Source organism: Homo sapiens, chromosome 13 (assembly GCF_000001405.40).
Source record: "Homo sapiens chromosome 13, GRCh38.p14 Primary Assembly".
NCBI classification, from domain to species: domain Eukaryota; kingdom Metazoa; phylum Chordata; class Mammalia; order Primates; family Hominidae; genus Homo; species Homo sapiens.
In genome coordinates, this window is record NC_000013.11 from 55,254,322 (window position 1) to 55,268,799 (window position 14,478).

The window sequence follows — 14,478 nt, forward strand, 5'->3', positions numbered from 1 at the left end:
CTTCTATACTGTGAAATGTTATTAAATCCTGACTATACTAATTGTTGCCAATTCCTTTTCCCCTATTCTCACTTGGAAATAATCCAGTTATTTTTATCTCCACTATTTTATAAAAAGTAGTTTTTTCAATATTTATTAATTAGTGTTTTGATATATTTAATAATTGTTATCCATTCTTGAAAAACACACTTCACTTCATTTAAAAGACACTGTGCTGTCCTAATTTTCCTTCTACCTTTGGTCTCATTCTTAGTGTTCTGATATATTCCTGCACCTTTCTCCTGCCTGGGCTTCATGCTTGGATGTTCTCTGTTCTCTAGAAGTTCCCATTTTTTCTGGGGAGAAGAAAAAAAGTCTTTCTGACATCATACAGAATTTCTTTCTGCAACATAGTTACATACTTATATTGTATACACATATACTTTATGTCTTACTGTGTCATTTTGGCCACATGGTAGCCAAAACGTAACCTTGTTCATAGACTACCACAAAGACCATGGGTGGCATCAGTCTAATAAAAGTTATTGTATTTAATGTTTTTTGTAGTCAGCAGCAGCAATAGCAGAAACTTTGGCAAACGTCAGCAGGGGTGTCTAAATTTCAGCATCATCAACATTGGGATATGATAAATGGAGAACTAAAACAGCAAACAAGGCAAATAGGAAATAAAGTGGCATCTAAACTAAGCATTAATTGTTAATAAGGGAGATACATTCTGTGGTGTCATAGGGCCAATGGGGACATATTCGATATCTAGGCAGGGACTCTTTCCAACACTATACAGTTTCTTTATTTTTATATAATTTGTATTTAGGCATCTAGAATTGTATCCACTGGAATTCTGTAGATTAGATTTTAAATCTCAAAATGCCAAATCAATATGAATTTCTGGTGATAAATGTAATCTCTTGATCAGCAGATTTGGTTTTACACTGAAGACTGCTCTATGTGATGTTCTACAATGTTGAATACTTGATCTAAACTCTTCCAAATGCTTCTAAAAATAGAGTACGCATGGAGAACTTTTACAGATTAACTAGGACTGGCTGTGGATGCCTACCATCTGGTCCTACAAAGCATGGATAGATTAGTTATAACAGCAGAGAGAATGAAACGCTTTACACAATCAAATGGGAAAAAGGCAATAATGATCTGTGCACATAATCGATGTACAGTGTGGGGTAGACAGAATTCTGGCAGCCAGAGTCCAAAGAAAGATCTGGAGTAATTCTTCCTTTGGAAAGCTGCCAAATTAATATTGTTGGGATATTACGACGTGCAACTGGAAACAGCACGCACTATATTCCATTGGAGAGTTAGAATTTTAAGACTTTTTTAAACTAACTGTGGGTTTTGTTGGCAAGTTAATCAACTACACTGGAATTTGTAAAAATAAAGTAATAATATAATAAATATATGTGCAGTTTTTTCTATGTCTGCCAACCTAAGAAGTATGAATTAAGAAAAACATAGGAAATGAAAAAAAGTAAACTGAAGAACAATAGATGGGTTTATAGTACTTAACAGTTTTGGAAAAATTAGTATTTTCTGACATACTCGAAAGAAAAAATGATGATGCAGGAAAAGGCAAGATAGTTTTTATGTTTCTAAGTGAAGTATACATCAAAGATTATATAAACCAATTAACAAGGTTCGGAGAGACTTCCAGAGAAAATGAAGATACACAAAAAACAGAGCGAAAGAAGAGGAACACCAAGTTAAAAATGAAGGTACATATATAAATTATTTTAGTCTCTAAATATGCTTGTTAATAAATTATCCATAAGTTTATACTTTACAAGTCAGACACATCTATATAAATACATAAGAACTGTAAACATATAAAAAATTAAACCAAAAGAACACAACATCATTAAAAATGTATGACAGATCCAAAAATAAAAGAAAGAAAAATGACCAGGAAAATATTTGAGTAAATTAGTTATAAAACTAAGGAAACAAATAATAAATAATTAGTTTCATAAGTGTGGTCAATGAAAGTTACTTCTGATTGTAGACACAGGAAAAATGAGCTATTCTTTCTGATAGCAGTTTCAAATAACCACTTTACTTCAAATAACAAGATTTGTAATACATTCAAAAAAGAGAGAAAAGTAGCTTTATGTTCTGCTATTAAAAATTTATGACAACTACAGTATCAATTTTTTAAGCTTTATCTTAGGAGAATCATCTGAAGGGAAATATATAAAATATTTCAAGTAGTTGAAATAAATTCAAGTAGTTGAGATAGTTGCACTTATGCTCAAAACCTATGTATAGTCTCCTAACAAATGGAGAAATGTGTATAATTTAAAATGCATGTCTCTCTTTTTTTACTTTTAAAAAACTAAAATGTTTAAGATGTCTGAACAGGTTTATACCATTGTTCCTGAAGGGCTAGAACAGAGAACCTTTCAAACATATCATATCTACAATGCATAAAAGGAGGTGGAATATGGATGTAGCAGGTTATAGTAGAGTGAATATTCAAAATAGTTAATTAGTGGTTTTTGTAAATTTTGGAAGTAGGTATGGAGGCGTGTGTATGCAGAGCCCTGAAGTCAAGATATAGGAATGGGAAAAAATAGATTCAAGCACAAGGAAGTCAAGAATGTTTTCAATGATGATGGCTAATTCTCATGATGGAATTTTCATGATCATACCAGATTTGTAAAGGAACTGGTTCTCCTTATTATAATCATAATCGTACAGTCCTCAGCACTTGCCTTCTGTGAATTAGGTAGATCCATGTTTTATCTTCTATCTTCTGTGTTTAGTACAGTCTTCTACATATTTTTAGAAGTGAAGCCTGTTCCCCCTTGTCCCGACAATTTCATGCTGGAAACCTAGGAGCTGAATTACTCCAGTTAAAAGGTGGGAGGAAACCTTTACTTAAAGTCAACTGATTATAAATGTTATACACATCTCCAAAATGCTTTCATAGCAACATCGCGACTAGTGTTTCACCAAACAACTGAGTACTACTATCTTGCCAAGTGTGACTTCCCATCGCAGGGAGATTTCTTTTATCTTTTGTGTTAGGAGCTTATAGAAGTGTTGACAGATATTTTGAGAAGGCAAAAAGCAAATTGTGATGGTGCAGATAAATGACTGATGCCTAGAACATCTAAGGCAAGCATGGAAATGTACCATGTGCCAGGGGAGGTAAAATGGCTGTATTTGAGAATCTTCACTTACCCACTTGCTACATGCTAAACTGTTAAAAACATAGACAAATGTCCTGTCTAAACATGGCTTTTTAAAGGGGCAGCAGAGATCGAGCTTCACTTCTCTGAGGCATTCTTTCAGCAAGATATTTTCAGCCAGCTAGCACAAGGTAGATAAGATAGGCCAACTTTTGTTGAACCACATTTGGATACCTAAACACATCAGCACTGGATAAAATCGAAGGTTTGTCTATAGAAGCCTTAGATCATGAGTGGAGGAGAGAGCAGAAGGATCTTTATCCTAGGGCCAACAGCTTCTGGTCTTAAGCACATATCCAATTGCTGTGAGGGAAGCATAATGCCCTATATCAATATCTGTCAGGATATCCTTCTACACTGAAAAATTTGTCATAAAAATGGCACGTTTCATTTCCTGTCTTTACATGACAAACACCAATACCTTGTTTATCAAATATGTCTTACTATGAAAATTAGGAATTATTTGAATTTGTTATGAAGACAATGTGCCAAAATGGCATTACATTCCCTGATGTTTAGTAATGCCTATTTTGCTTTTATAAAGAGAACAATTTGACTTAATCCACATTTTTCTTTCAGAGCATTCTGGATACTTTTCACTCTTTAGGGCATTGAATGGCACTGAGTAAAACCAGCTTGATGTTTTCCCTTTGTATGGTCTTGATCCTACATTAAGCTATCTCATTCCGAAGTGTTGAAGATTTGTAGTATATTTTTCAAGAGCATACTGTGCTCCTTCAGTGGATTCAAGTCTTTCTTTACTGCAGAAATATTTTATTCTATTGTATCTTGAAATTTGTTTTATTTTCAGTTTGTATGGCTTTTTTCTTCAGGCAACAAAATTGATTGCATTCACGATCATGTTGTTCAATGTGTTTTTGATCTTATTCATTTGTTACTTCTAAAGAAGATTTCACCACAGTAAAATTTTGCTTTGTTTTATTTTATTATGTGTCTTGTTTTGGGTTGGGTTATTCACTATTAAATATTTTAAAATCAAACAAGACAACTAAATGGGTCATTTCCTTTCTCTTTTTTGTCTACATGCAGACAGTTGGTGTTATTTTCTGCCCCTTTACTATTCTTACATTTTATGTTCTTACAAAAAAAAAAATAAAAAGAAAGAAAAAACCTCATCATTTTAAAGAAAAACCTTATAATGAGGCAGGGGAACTGAATTTTTAAGATTCAAATAATCTTCCCTCTAATTGGGTTAACTTGTACCTCCTCCTGCAGCCAGATGTATGCCCATTACTAATGAGTTACAGTAGTCTGTGGATTATGAAGCACCCTATCCCCAATCCCACACTATGCTCAACTCCAGATAATGAGAACTGTTTAAACAGCAAAAGCTCCCTAGGGGCAGGAATCAGGAGTTTTTCTTTCAACTGATGAGAGCTGCTGGGTGGGCAAGACAAATTGAAAAGTGCTGGCAGTGACAAATGAGGAAGATGAGAGGCACTGCCCTGTGTGAGGTCAGCTGTGACTTTGGGTTCAGATCACAACTAGGTATCATGCTAGGGCTTATGTTTACCAGCTTATTATGAAGGTTATTATGAAGAATACAGATGAATACAGATGTGATACAGATGAATAGATGCAGAGGGCAAAGTATGGGACAAGGGGCTTGGGGGTGAGCAAGGAGCATCCCTGCCTTCTCTGGGCACACCACCCTCTAGGACTTCCACGTCTTCAGCAACCCAGAAGCTGAGGTAAAATTTTATTTTTGACTCTTACGTTTCTTTCCTGAGCTCTACCCATCTCACAGTTAACTTATATTTTCTGTGTTGTACTCTAGCATCAACACTTTGAAATTTCTTTCCTCTTTTCTTACTTTTCTTTCTTTTTTTTAATCTCACTGTCTTTAAAAGAGAACTCTTGGTATATTTATGATTTCTGGTAAATGAAGAAAACATTTTCTAAAACATTCCTTTATTTTCAAAAATAATTCATCTTTATATCGCTTTTACCTGCATATTTCACCTCTCCCCCTCCCACTCTTTTACCTTGATCAGTAAATAGGTCTTATGAATGATTTTCTAATGTTTATAGCTATTGGGTATTTTTCCTGCATCATAAAGTATGCCAAGGGAAAGAACTATACTTTTGCTTCAAGTTTGTGGTCTTAAACACTTTCTCATCAAATCTGTGAGATTGCCCTGGGACATTTTTTACCTCTGTTTTTAGTATTGGTGAGGTTGAAGTGGCTCACTCTAATCCCCATTATATCAAAGGTTGTTATGACTATTATCTGGTATTTGCTATTTCCTGTTTTCCTTCATTCTGCTTTATTTTTGTCACTTGCCTCTGACAGAAGGTGCAGAAGGATGTACCATGGTCTTGGTTACAGACTGAGAATAATGTAGCTTCTTCAGTATAACTACATTTTGCTGTTCTTTTGGACTCAAACAGAGTATCTATAGGAGTATATAGAACAAACTGAGTATCCCTATTACCACACCTCACCCATGTTGCTAGATTTAGTTACCCTAATCACAGGCCCACTGACCAGCCCATTCAGCACTGTGTAACTTATTTTTGGGGAAGGAGACTTTCTTACTGAGGTCTGTGAAAGTATGTATCATTGCTCAAAATTCCGTTTTTGTTTCCAAATTCAAAATATCTGTCAAACAAGCTTCTTGGTATCCCCTTTACTACTGTGGGTGAAGGTTTATTCCAAAAGACAAATGTTTCTCATTAAAAAAAAAAAAATTCTTGTGGCAACTTTCGCTGCTTTAATAGAAAAAATGAAATAAAATGACATTGTTTGATATTTATCCAGAATTAGCACTTTACATATTTATTTGTTTGTTTATTTATACATTGTCTATACAAATTTCAAGCTCCTGAATGATGAAATTTTATTTTGTTTCATGTGCTACACCTTTTGTCCCGCAATATGTTCTCTATGTCCCTGGTATCCAAGGAATATTTATTGAAAGTTTAAATAGGATTTATATCATTTAAATTACTTTATTATATCCTTGGTCAGTAGGTATAAGAACACAACTGAACAATTTACTTTATGGTTTATAGTAAAAATGTATATTGTTTACACAAATCTTAAGATTCCCAACTTAAAATTATTTATAATATTAATCAAATAGGTTTTGGTCGTAATAAATACATACAGACAGGCAACAGAAATCTTGAAATGACTACAATCTTCATAAAGCAATGGTATATAAATTATCATTTTATTATGTTGTATGGATCTAACATTCTCCCTGATGGTCTCTTCCTAAGTGACAGGTTTGTAGTAAACAGCATTAGTTTTTCACATTGCTGAAAACAAATTCTAAGTATGAATTTTAAAGTTTCCTTGAGTGGTTAGCTTGACAATGCTTGAAAACAAGCGTTTCTTAGGTCATAAAGACTTTAGAGAAGAACAGTTAATTATTTTTAAGGAAAAAGTCTGTTTGTAGATTTAAGGAATGTAAAGTTTGAGTAGTTTTAATAGCATAACATTTTATTAACAAAGTGTCATGTGTAGATTGTTCTTCAGAAAGTTTAAAGCAGATCCGATTTTTCTGTGTTCAACTTTATTGTTTTTCATTTACATGACCAAAATTTCACAAATTAAAAAAAAAGTTGCTTATATTTATTACCCTCACTGTTTGTCACTTCTGGCTGACATAATTCTTTACAGCATCTTGGGAATGTATAGGATGGATTATGTTCCAGGATGTCCAACCTGGAAATATTTGAATTTTCTGGCATTTGTGAGTCCCTCCATCGAGAACAAATATAGCTGCATGGTATCCTATTTCCCAGGAGTTGATTTTTTTAAAAAATTATTATTATTATTATTATTAGGCAGAGATGGGGCTTTGTTCTGTCACCCAGACAGTGGTTCAATCATAGCTCATTGCAGTCTCAAACTCCTGGACTCAAGTGATCTTTCTGCCTCAGCCTCTCAAGTAGCTGAGGTTAGAGATTTAAGCCATCATGCCCAGCTTAGACTTTTCAAATTAGTATTTTACCATTTTTCTACTTAATTCATTTAATTCTTATTTTCATGCTGTGTAAATAAATGAAGCATGGAAGAAATGGAAACCAAGCCTGGAAGAATATGTTAGAGCTTTAACACATTCATTTTGGAAGACAGAAATAATAAAGTAGCACACACAAAGAGACACTAAAGATTTTTGAGCATAGAGAAAAATTCAGGAGAAGAAAGAGAAGGCCTCCAAGTTGAGAGGAGTCAGAATAAAATCAACTCTGCTGGCACCCTGATCTTGGATTTCCAACCGTCTGAACTGTGAGAAAATTTCTTTCTTTTACTTACATCACCTAGTCTGAAGTACTAAAACTATTCCCACAGCGCTGACAAGAATTGCATGCCAGGTTCTGCACAGAAATATAGTTATAATTAAGTATTATTCAGGCTGTACTTTGGCCCACTTCCTTGTTGTAAAAGTCATGTAAAAGCACTAGATACTGACCATTTGTATCTCCATTATTCCTATAGATAGGATTTTTGATGTTAGGGCTATAAGACGGTTTAAAAATTGATTTTCATCCCCGTTGTTCTTATAGACTGGCTCTTTGACAATAGAATCATAAAGCTTTTGTTTAAGGATTGCCTAAGATGTTTTTCAGACATCAAATTCCAGCAAAACAGCTGACACCAATCAGTTTGGAGATCCCCACAGAGAAATTGGTTGGACATGAGAATACAGCTTCTTCATCTCCCTGTCCATTGACAGAGAGATGCACTTTTCAATCAATCAGTGATCTTCACATTTAGGCCCACTCCAAAATGCTTAAAAGATTTAGCCCCAGATTCCTCAGGGAGATGGATTTAAGGTTTCCTCCCATCTCCTTGTTCAGTGATCCTATGATTAAACCTCTTTCTCTGCTGCAAGCTGGTCTGTTGGTATATTGACTTGCAGTGCGGATCAGATAGTGAACCGCTTATGGTTACAGTATTTTGTTATGGCAATCCTGGCAGACCTAGCAAACAAATACACCAAGTTATTGCTTAGCTCTATAATTATTCTTAAGTTTTTATACTTTGAATTTTCCATCAGTGTTTCCTCTGATTTCCCATGCCCTGTGAACCTCATGATTTCTTTGAAGAAAGAAATAGAAGTTGTAAAACTTTAGTTTTCACCCTTTTACCATCTAGCTGTGTGATCTCATGCAATTCAGTTAACCATTGTGCTGTAAGGTCTAAATCTATCAAGTGAGAAAAATAATGCTGGGTCAATCTATTTCAATTAATGCTGTTTTTTCATGACATTTGGTTGTAGTTGTTAAAGTTCTTGATAAAGTGTTCTAAACATACACACCATGTCTGCAATGCCCTCTCACCTTTCTGACATTCTCTATTGTCCTGAGTTCTTGAGTAGGCCCTCTGTAACAAAAGCTAACAAGAGAAAAACAAGCAATTTTATCAATATGTGTATCATGCATGTAATGTAACTGATAGAGGAGTACCCAGAAATGTAACTGATAGAGGTGGCTTAGAACTCTGACTTATATGGCATTTTCAATAAGGAACAACAAATTTTTAGAGAAATGACAAGACAAAAAAAAGTATCTTGAGTCTCTAGGGACAGCAAATTGTAGGAAAGCAAATATGTGTGGAAAACTAGTGTTAGATAAAGGCTAATTAATGAAATGTTATGTAGGTTCTTCTAGTGCTGTTTGCAAGCTATTAAGGGTCTAAAGTTGTCTCTGGTAATTAACTTTTGTCCTTCTTTGAAGAAAGAGGAAGTGGGACACGTTTGCAATTTTTTTTTCTACTTTTAGGCAAATAGAAAAATGACAGAAGTTTTCTTGTATTTGCTCCTTCCTAGTTGCCTTCAGCTCAAAATAATCCTTATTCCAAAGTGGTATCTTTTGGGGTGGCCCATTTTTGCCACACTTCACAGTCAATTACTCTTTTTTAAAACCCATTTTAAGTATCACCTCATATTTTAGAACTTTTCCAAAGACCAAAAAGTGAATTAACTGTTTCATTACATTTTCTTCTCCTTTTAAAACATTTTATCTATTACTATTTTATAACACTTACCCTGTTGCATTGTAATTTATGTGTTTATAATGCATTTTTAACACACAAGAATCTTACCTGCATAGTAGCAGAAATAGTGTCACATAATTTCATTATCAGTGAATCCCTGGTGCATCTGCACAGAGTCTGGAATACATTAGACGTTCTGTTAACAAATTAGGTAAATAAATGAAAGTGAATTAAATGTAAGCAAACTTGGGATTTAAAATTGTGATTTTCAAGAAAACTATTCAAAAAAAGGGATATTTATTAATATTTGATATTAAACTATGCATATTTTTCAATTTCTTAAAAAAGATAATATTTTTACTTAAGATATAAACTAAACACATGCTAAAGATTTTGTTTAACTAATGAATCATTGAAAGAACAAGGCTCTCATTGATTTGATTTCACATTGATGAAATGATTGATTTCATTTTTTTGAAATGGTTATAGCCATTTCAAAAAAAGAATACCAACAACAGACATATTTTTGTTTAGAAATACTGACATGAATGTACAAATGTGTGGCAAAATTGTTCCCCTGTTCCCCTGACAACCCCCACCCTCTGTCACAGGGAGGAATAAGTTATTCTTCCACTAGACATAATTGATTTGCATGTCTATATACAATAATTATTTTGTTCTCTATCAGTCATCAACAACTTGCAGTATTATAAAAAATCTCCCATGTAATCAATGTATGGTTTTGCACTGAACCACAAATTACTGCCTACAATATAAAAGCCACAAATGGTCAAAGCCTAGCTGTATTTCCCTCTCCTCAGTAACAAAAAATTGGTAAATATTAGCTGGAGGAAAATTTAAAATCCTTGGCTGTGTTGATGGACAATTTTTCTGTGTATAAATACATTGGAATAACTATTTGAGGAAAATTTGTATGAAGGGATTTTGCAGGTAATGCCAGCAAGGTCGATGTCAGCTTAGATTAACTACGGCTTGGTATCTGTCAACCAAATTAGTGCTGCCTAGGAGGGAAGTTTAACCTGAGCACTGAACACTTCAGGAAGGTTTTCCTTCATGAATCAGCAATTCTCTTCACCCCCTTTTTTCTCTCCAAGGTCAAAAGGGTTTAGATCTATCCCTGTAGGCCGATGCCCCGATGTTACTTGCCAACTTGTTTATACCCTTTAGTAGCAGCTGACAAGTAACTTGTTGCCCACTGTTATTTTAATCTCTAGTGATGAATTACAATTCAGTGAAATTTACAAGAAGCATCACATTAAACCTGTGTGAGTGTGTGTGTTACATAAAATTTTAGCATATGTAGGACACAGGTCTTTTCTGAATACACCATTTTATTATACTAAAATGTGGAATGTTTTATTAAAAGGAAATTTAAAATGGATCTCAACTGAATTGTGACCTGATCACAGAATCCATAGTTGAAGTCTATTATGCAATTGAATGAGAAATTTAAGCAGATGTGTGTTCGCACAGTTCTGACAATCCTTCCCTAGATGTTGAGCAAAAGAAGAAAATTTAAGAATATTTTATTAGATATTGGCCATGCTTTAAAAATGTTCCAAAGAACTGAAAGGTTTTGAATATTTTCTATTAATGATAATATGGGAGGGCCTTGTGATTGTTGACTTCTTGCAACTTGTAATTGTTGACTTCTTTCTTCATGTAAGTGGCAGTTATGGAGGTGCATTCTACTTCTGCAAGAAGTATAGTTAGCTGAGAGGCTACAGCTGAAGCACCTGCAGGATCCACTGCAATGTTGTAGCAAAGGTCTTGCTTTTTCAGAACAGTGCCAGCCAGACTGAGAAGGATGGTCTTCTATGACCTGGCTACTTTTTTCCAAATGGGGACTCTTCTATGAAAGAATCTTTGGGCTTTGCCCTTTCAGCTCTCTGGGACATTCTCAGATCTGCTCTGCAGTCAAAGGTGCTTCTTACCCAATCTGCCTCGCTTCTGCCTCTCCTTTCACATGTGTCAAACTTGAGTGGTGGTCCTTAGGTTTTTCGTGCTGAATGTCTGCTCCCTTTCCTCTATCTTTCGCTGATGCCATCCCCAATAAATATTTTACACTTCCATTTTAGTGTAGGCATCTGCTTTCTAGAAGATCCAAACAGATACAGTGTATTATCTACAAATAGAAGATAGTATTCATATCATTACTATATATACACAAGCACATATACACATATGTATAAATTTCTCTCTATATATATAGAGAGAGATTTTATATGTTTTCATATAAACCTTTGTATCATTCATGAGGTAGATTAGTCTATTTCCATAATACAATTAAAATATTTTAGGCTCAGAGATGTATACATAATTGCCTATGCTTACAAGATAACAAACATATGACTACCGTAGTCCCCACTTATCCATAGCATTACTTGCCACAGTTTTAGTTACCATAGTTTAACAATAGTAAGTGAAAATTTTCAGAAATACACATCCCATGATTTTTAAACTGCATGTCATTCTGAGTAGCATGACAATATCTCACCTGTATTAGTCCATTTTCATATGGCTGTAAAGAACTGCCTGAGACTGGGTAATTTATAAAGGAAGGAGGTTTAATTGATTCACGTTTCCACATGGCTGGGGAGGCCTCAGGAAACTTAGGATCATGGCGGAAGCCACCTCTTCACAGGCTGGCAGGGGAGAGAACAAGTGCCAGCAGGGGAAATGCCAGACACTTACGAAAAATCTTATGAGAACTCACTATCACAAGAACAGCATGGGGGAAACTGCCACCATGATTCAGTTACCTCCAACCAGGTCCTTCTCATGACATGTGGGGATTATTACAATTCAAGATGAGATTTGGGTGGGCACACAAAGCCAAACCATATCATCACCCCATCTGGCTCCATCCCACTAAGCAAATAAATTATCTTTTTTTCTAGCATTTCCGTACTGTGTATACTACCCATTCATTTGTCACATGGTAGCCTCTCAGCTATCACATGAAAAACAATATAAATAGGGTTCAGTACTATTCATGGTTTCAGGTACTCATTGGAAGTCTGCAGTGTATCCCCCATGGATAAAGGTGGAGAGTATATATATTTCATATCCTTAATCATTGTAGGTTATATGGTTAGAAGAATGTTAATAGTTTCTATCCAATACAAAGTTGCTTTGCTATTTATACAAAAAGATAAAAGTTATTAAATTTTAAGTTATTATAGTTTTTCATTCTCTTCCAATCATAACAAACATTTGACTTCTGAATCAAGGATGGATGAGGGCACAAGTAAAAAGACAAAAGCCAAAGACTATACTTGCTTTACATAAGAAAGAGCTAAGCCACAGGGAATGAGTGAAAGATTGGAGCACAATACAGTCTGGAGATTGGGAGTAAATAAAGACTGGAATTGGTCTTTCAATTACTCTTTCTTATCAGACTTATTTTATAAGCCTGCTGCTTAGAATAGATACTATAATATGAGGAGTTCGGACTTCAGACTACACCATTCAAACCCTATTTCTCTTTCATATTCTTACCCTTCCAGTCAACGTGGAAATATGGAAAGGGGAGAAAATAACTGAACTATTTATATCAGTGAGTGGTTAGAAGGATCCAATACTTGAGCAATTATTATACTTTGTACTTTTCTTGCTTCCAGAGTGTTTGATAACTTAGAAGCTGGATATAAACTGCTTGCTTTTGCATTAGTTTTTTGACCTTCAGTTGCACAGTTTAAATTTTCTTTGCATGTTATGTGTTCAAATAAAAGCCTACATAGGAGTGAAGACAAATGTTACCTAATTAAAGTGGGTGGAGATTGCCAAATGCATATAAACAAATCCTAGGAAAGAATTCAGTTATATGAGAGTGAACTTCTTGTAAAAATTGTAAAAGAGAAAATTAGCTTTTATTGGTTCTCATTCTTCTTTTTTACATAGATCTTCTTCAAGATTTTAGAATATTGGTAATTCTTCACTGCTTAATTTGCCTGCTGCTATTTTTATTATTCATACAGAAGAGGCTCTCTCTGCCTACACTGTCCTATCATCTTTCTTCTGTCTAGTTAATATCTACTTATTCTATGAAATTATCCTCATACCGCATGCTAATTCCCCTCTTCTCCTATAGCAGTTTACTTTTATTTTTCAATACACTTCTCTTTTCCATTAAACTTAAAATATTCAAGGGCATGGCTTTTTCATCTTGTTTCTTCAATACCTGACTGGAGTAGCCAGCAAATCCTCACACTGGCATTTAATTACTTCAGAATATGTCACTATTTTAAATTTCCAAACTTACCATTCAATTATCTGTCATACAGACTCTGACTCATTCAGGCTAGTCCATTTACCATGCAAAGTGTATCTGAATATAATTATTTAAAAAAATTTCCTAGTCAAAATAATCCACGTTCTAAATCACTTCTCTATTACATTCACTATTCTTTCCAAGACGGCATTTTTATTCCTTTCCCACCTTTTCATATACCACTGACTTTTTTCAGTGCTAAAGGGAAGTCTCACCTTCTCCATAACCTTCCGCTTTTATTCCAGATTATATTGACCATCTTTTTCTTTTGACCTCATGGTCTTTTCTATTTAAATCATTCATTGACACTAAGTATTATTTATTTTCAGCATTCTTTATATTGGTCTTGTTGTATTGTTGGTTTGGTAGTATTTTTGTGGGGGAGTTGTGTGTGTGTGTCGGTGTGAGTATTATACCTAAATTATATGTTGTAAACCAAAAATATATATGAGATTTTATTCAAGTATCTTTAATTGGGGGCAGATGGCCAGTGGGGAATCTGTAAGAGAAGAATGTATGTTTCTTGTGAAGAAACTCAGTAGAAACACCAACAGTAGAAGGAAAAGAATGAGGAGGTTTGGGCTTTTGCATGGGGGAGGGGAGCATGTGCAGAGATGAGGTTGGCAGTGGCAGAATCATCACAGCTTCCTGTGTAGTTTAACTTCATGTGAGCAGTTTATAATTGAGAAGAGAAGAGAAATACTAGCCAAGGTGGCACGAGGTAGCAAAAACCAAGCCAGCAGCCTGAATTCTCTTGCTAAGGAAAGCACTTCTCTTTTGTAGAAAGCCAGCATCTACAGCCAGCAACAGTAGTAATGATAAGAGTGAAGTGTTCTACCTTGTCACTTGGAACTATGGGTACCAGGACAACATAAGACTGCAATGAATGAGTTATTTAATCCAGATAAAATTTAGACCAACTCGGGTAACTCCACAAATGATGGAGCGTTAAATGGCACGAGAACATGACGTGGGTGGTATTTTTAACCCTATAAGAACAAGTAATT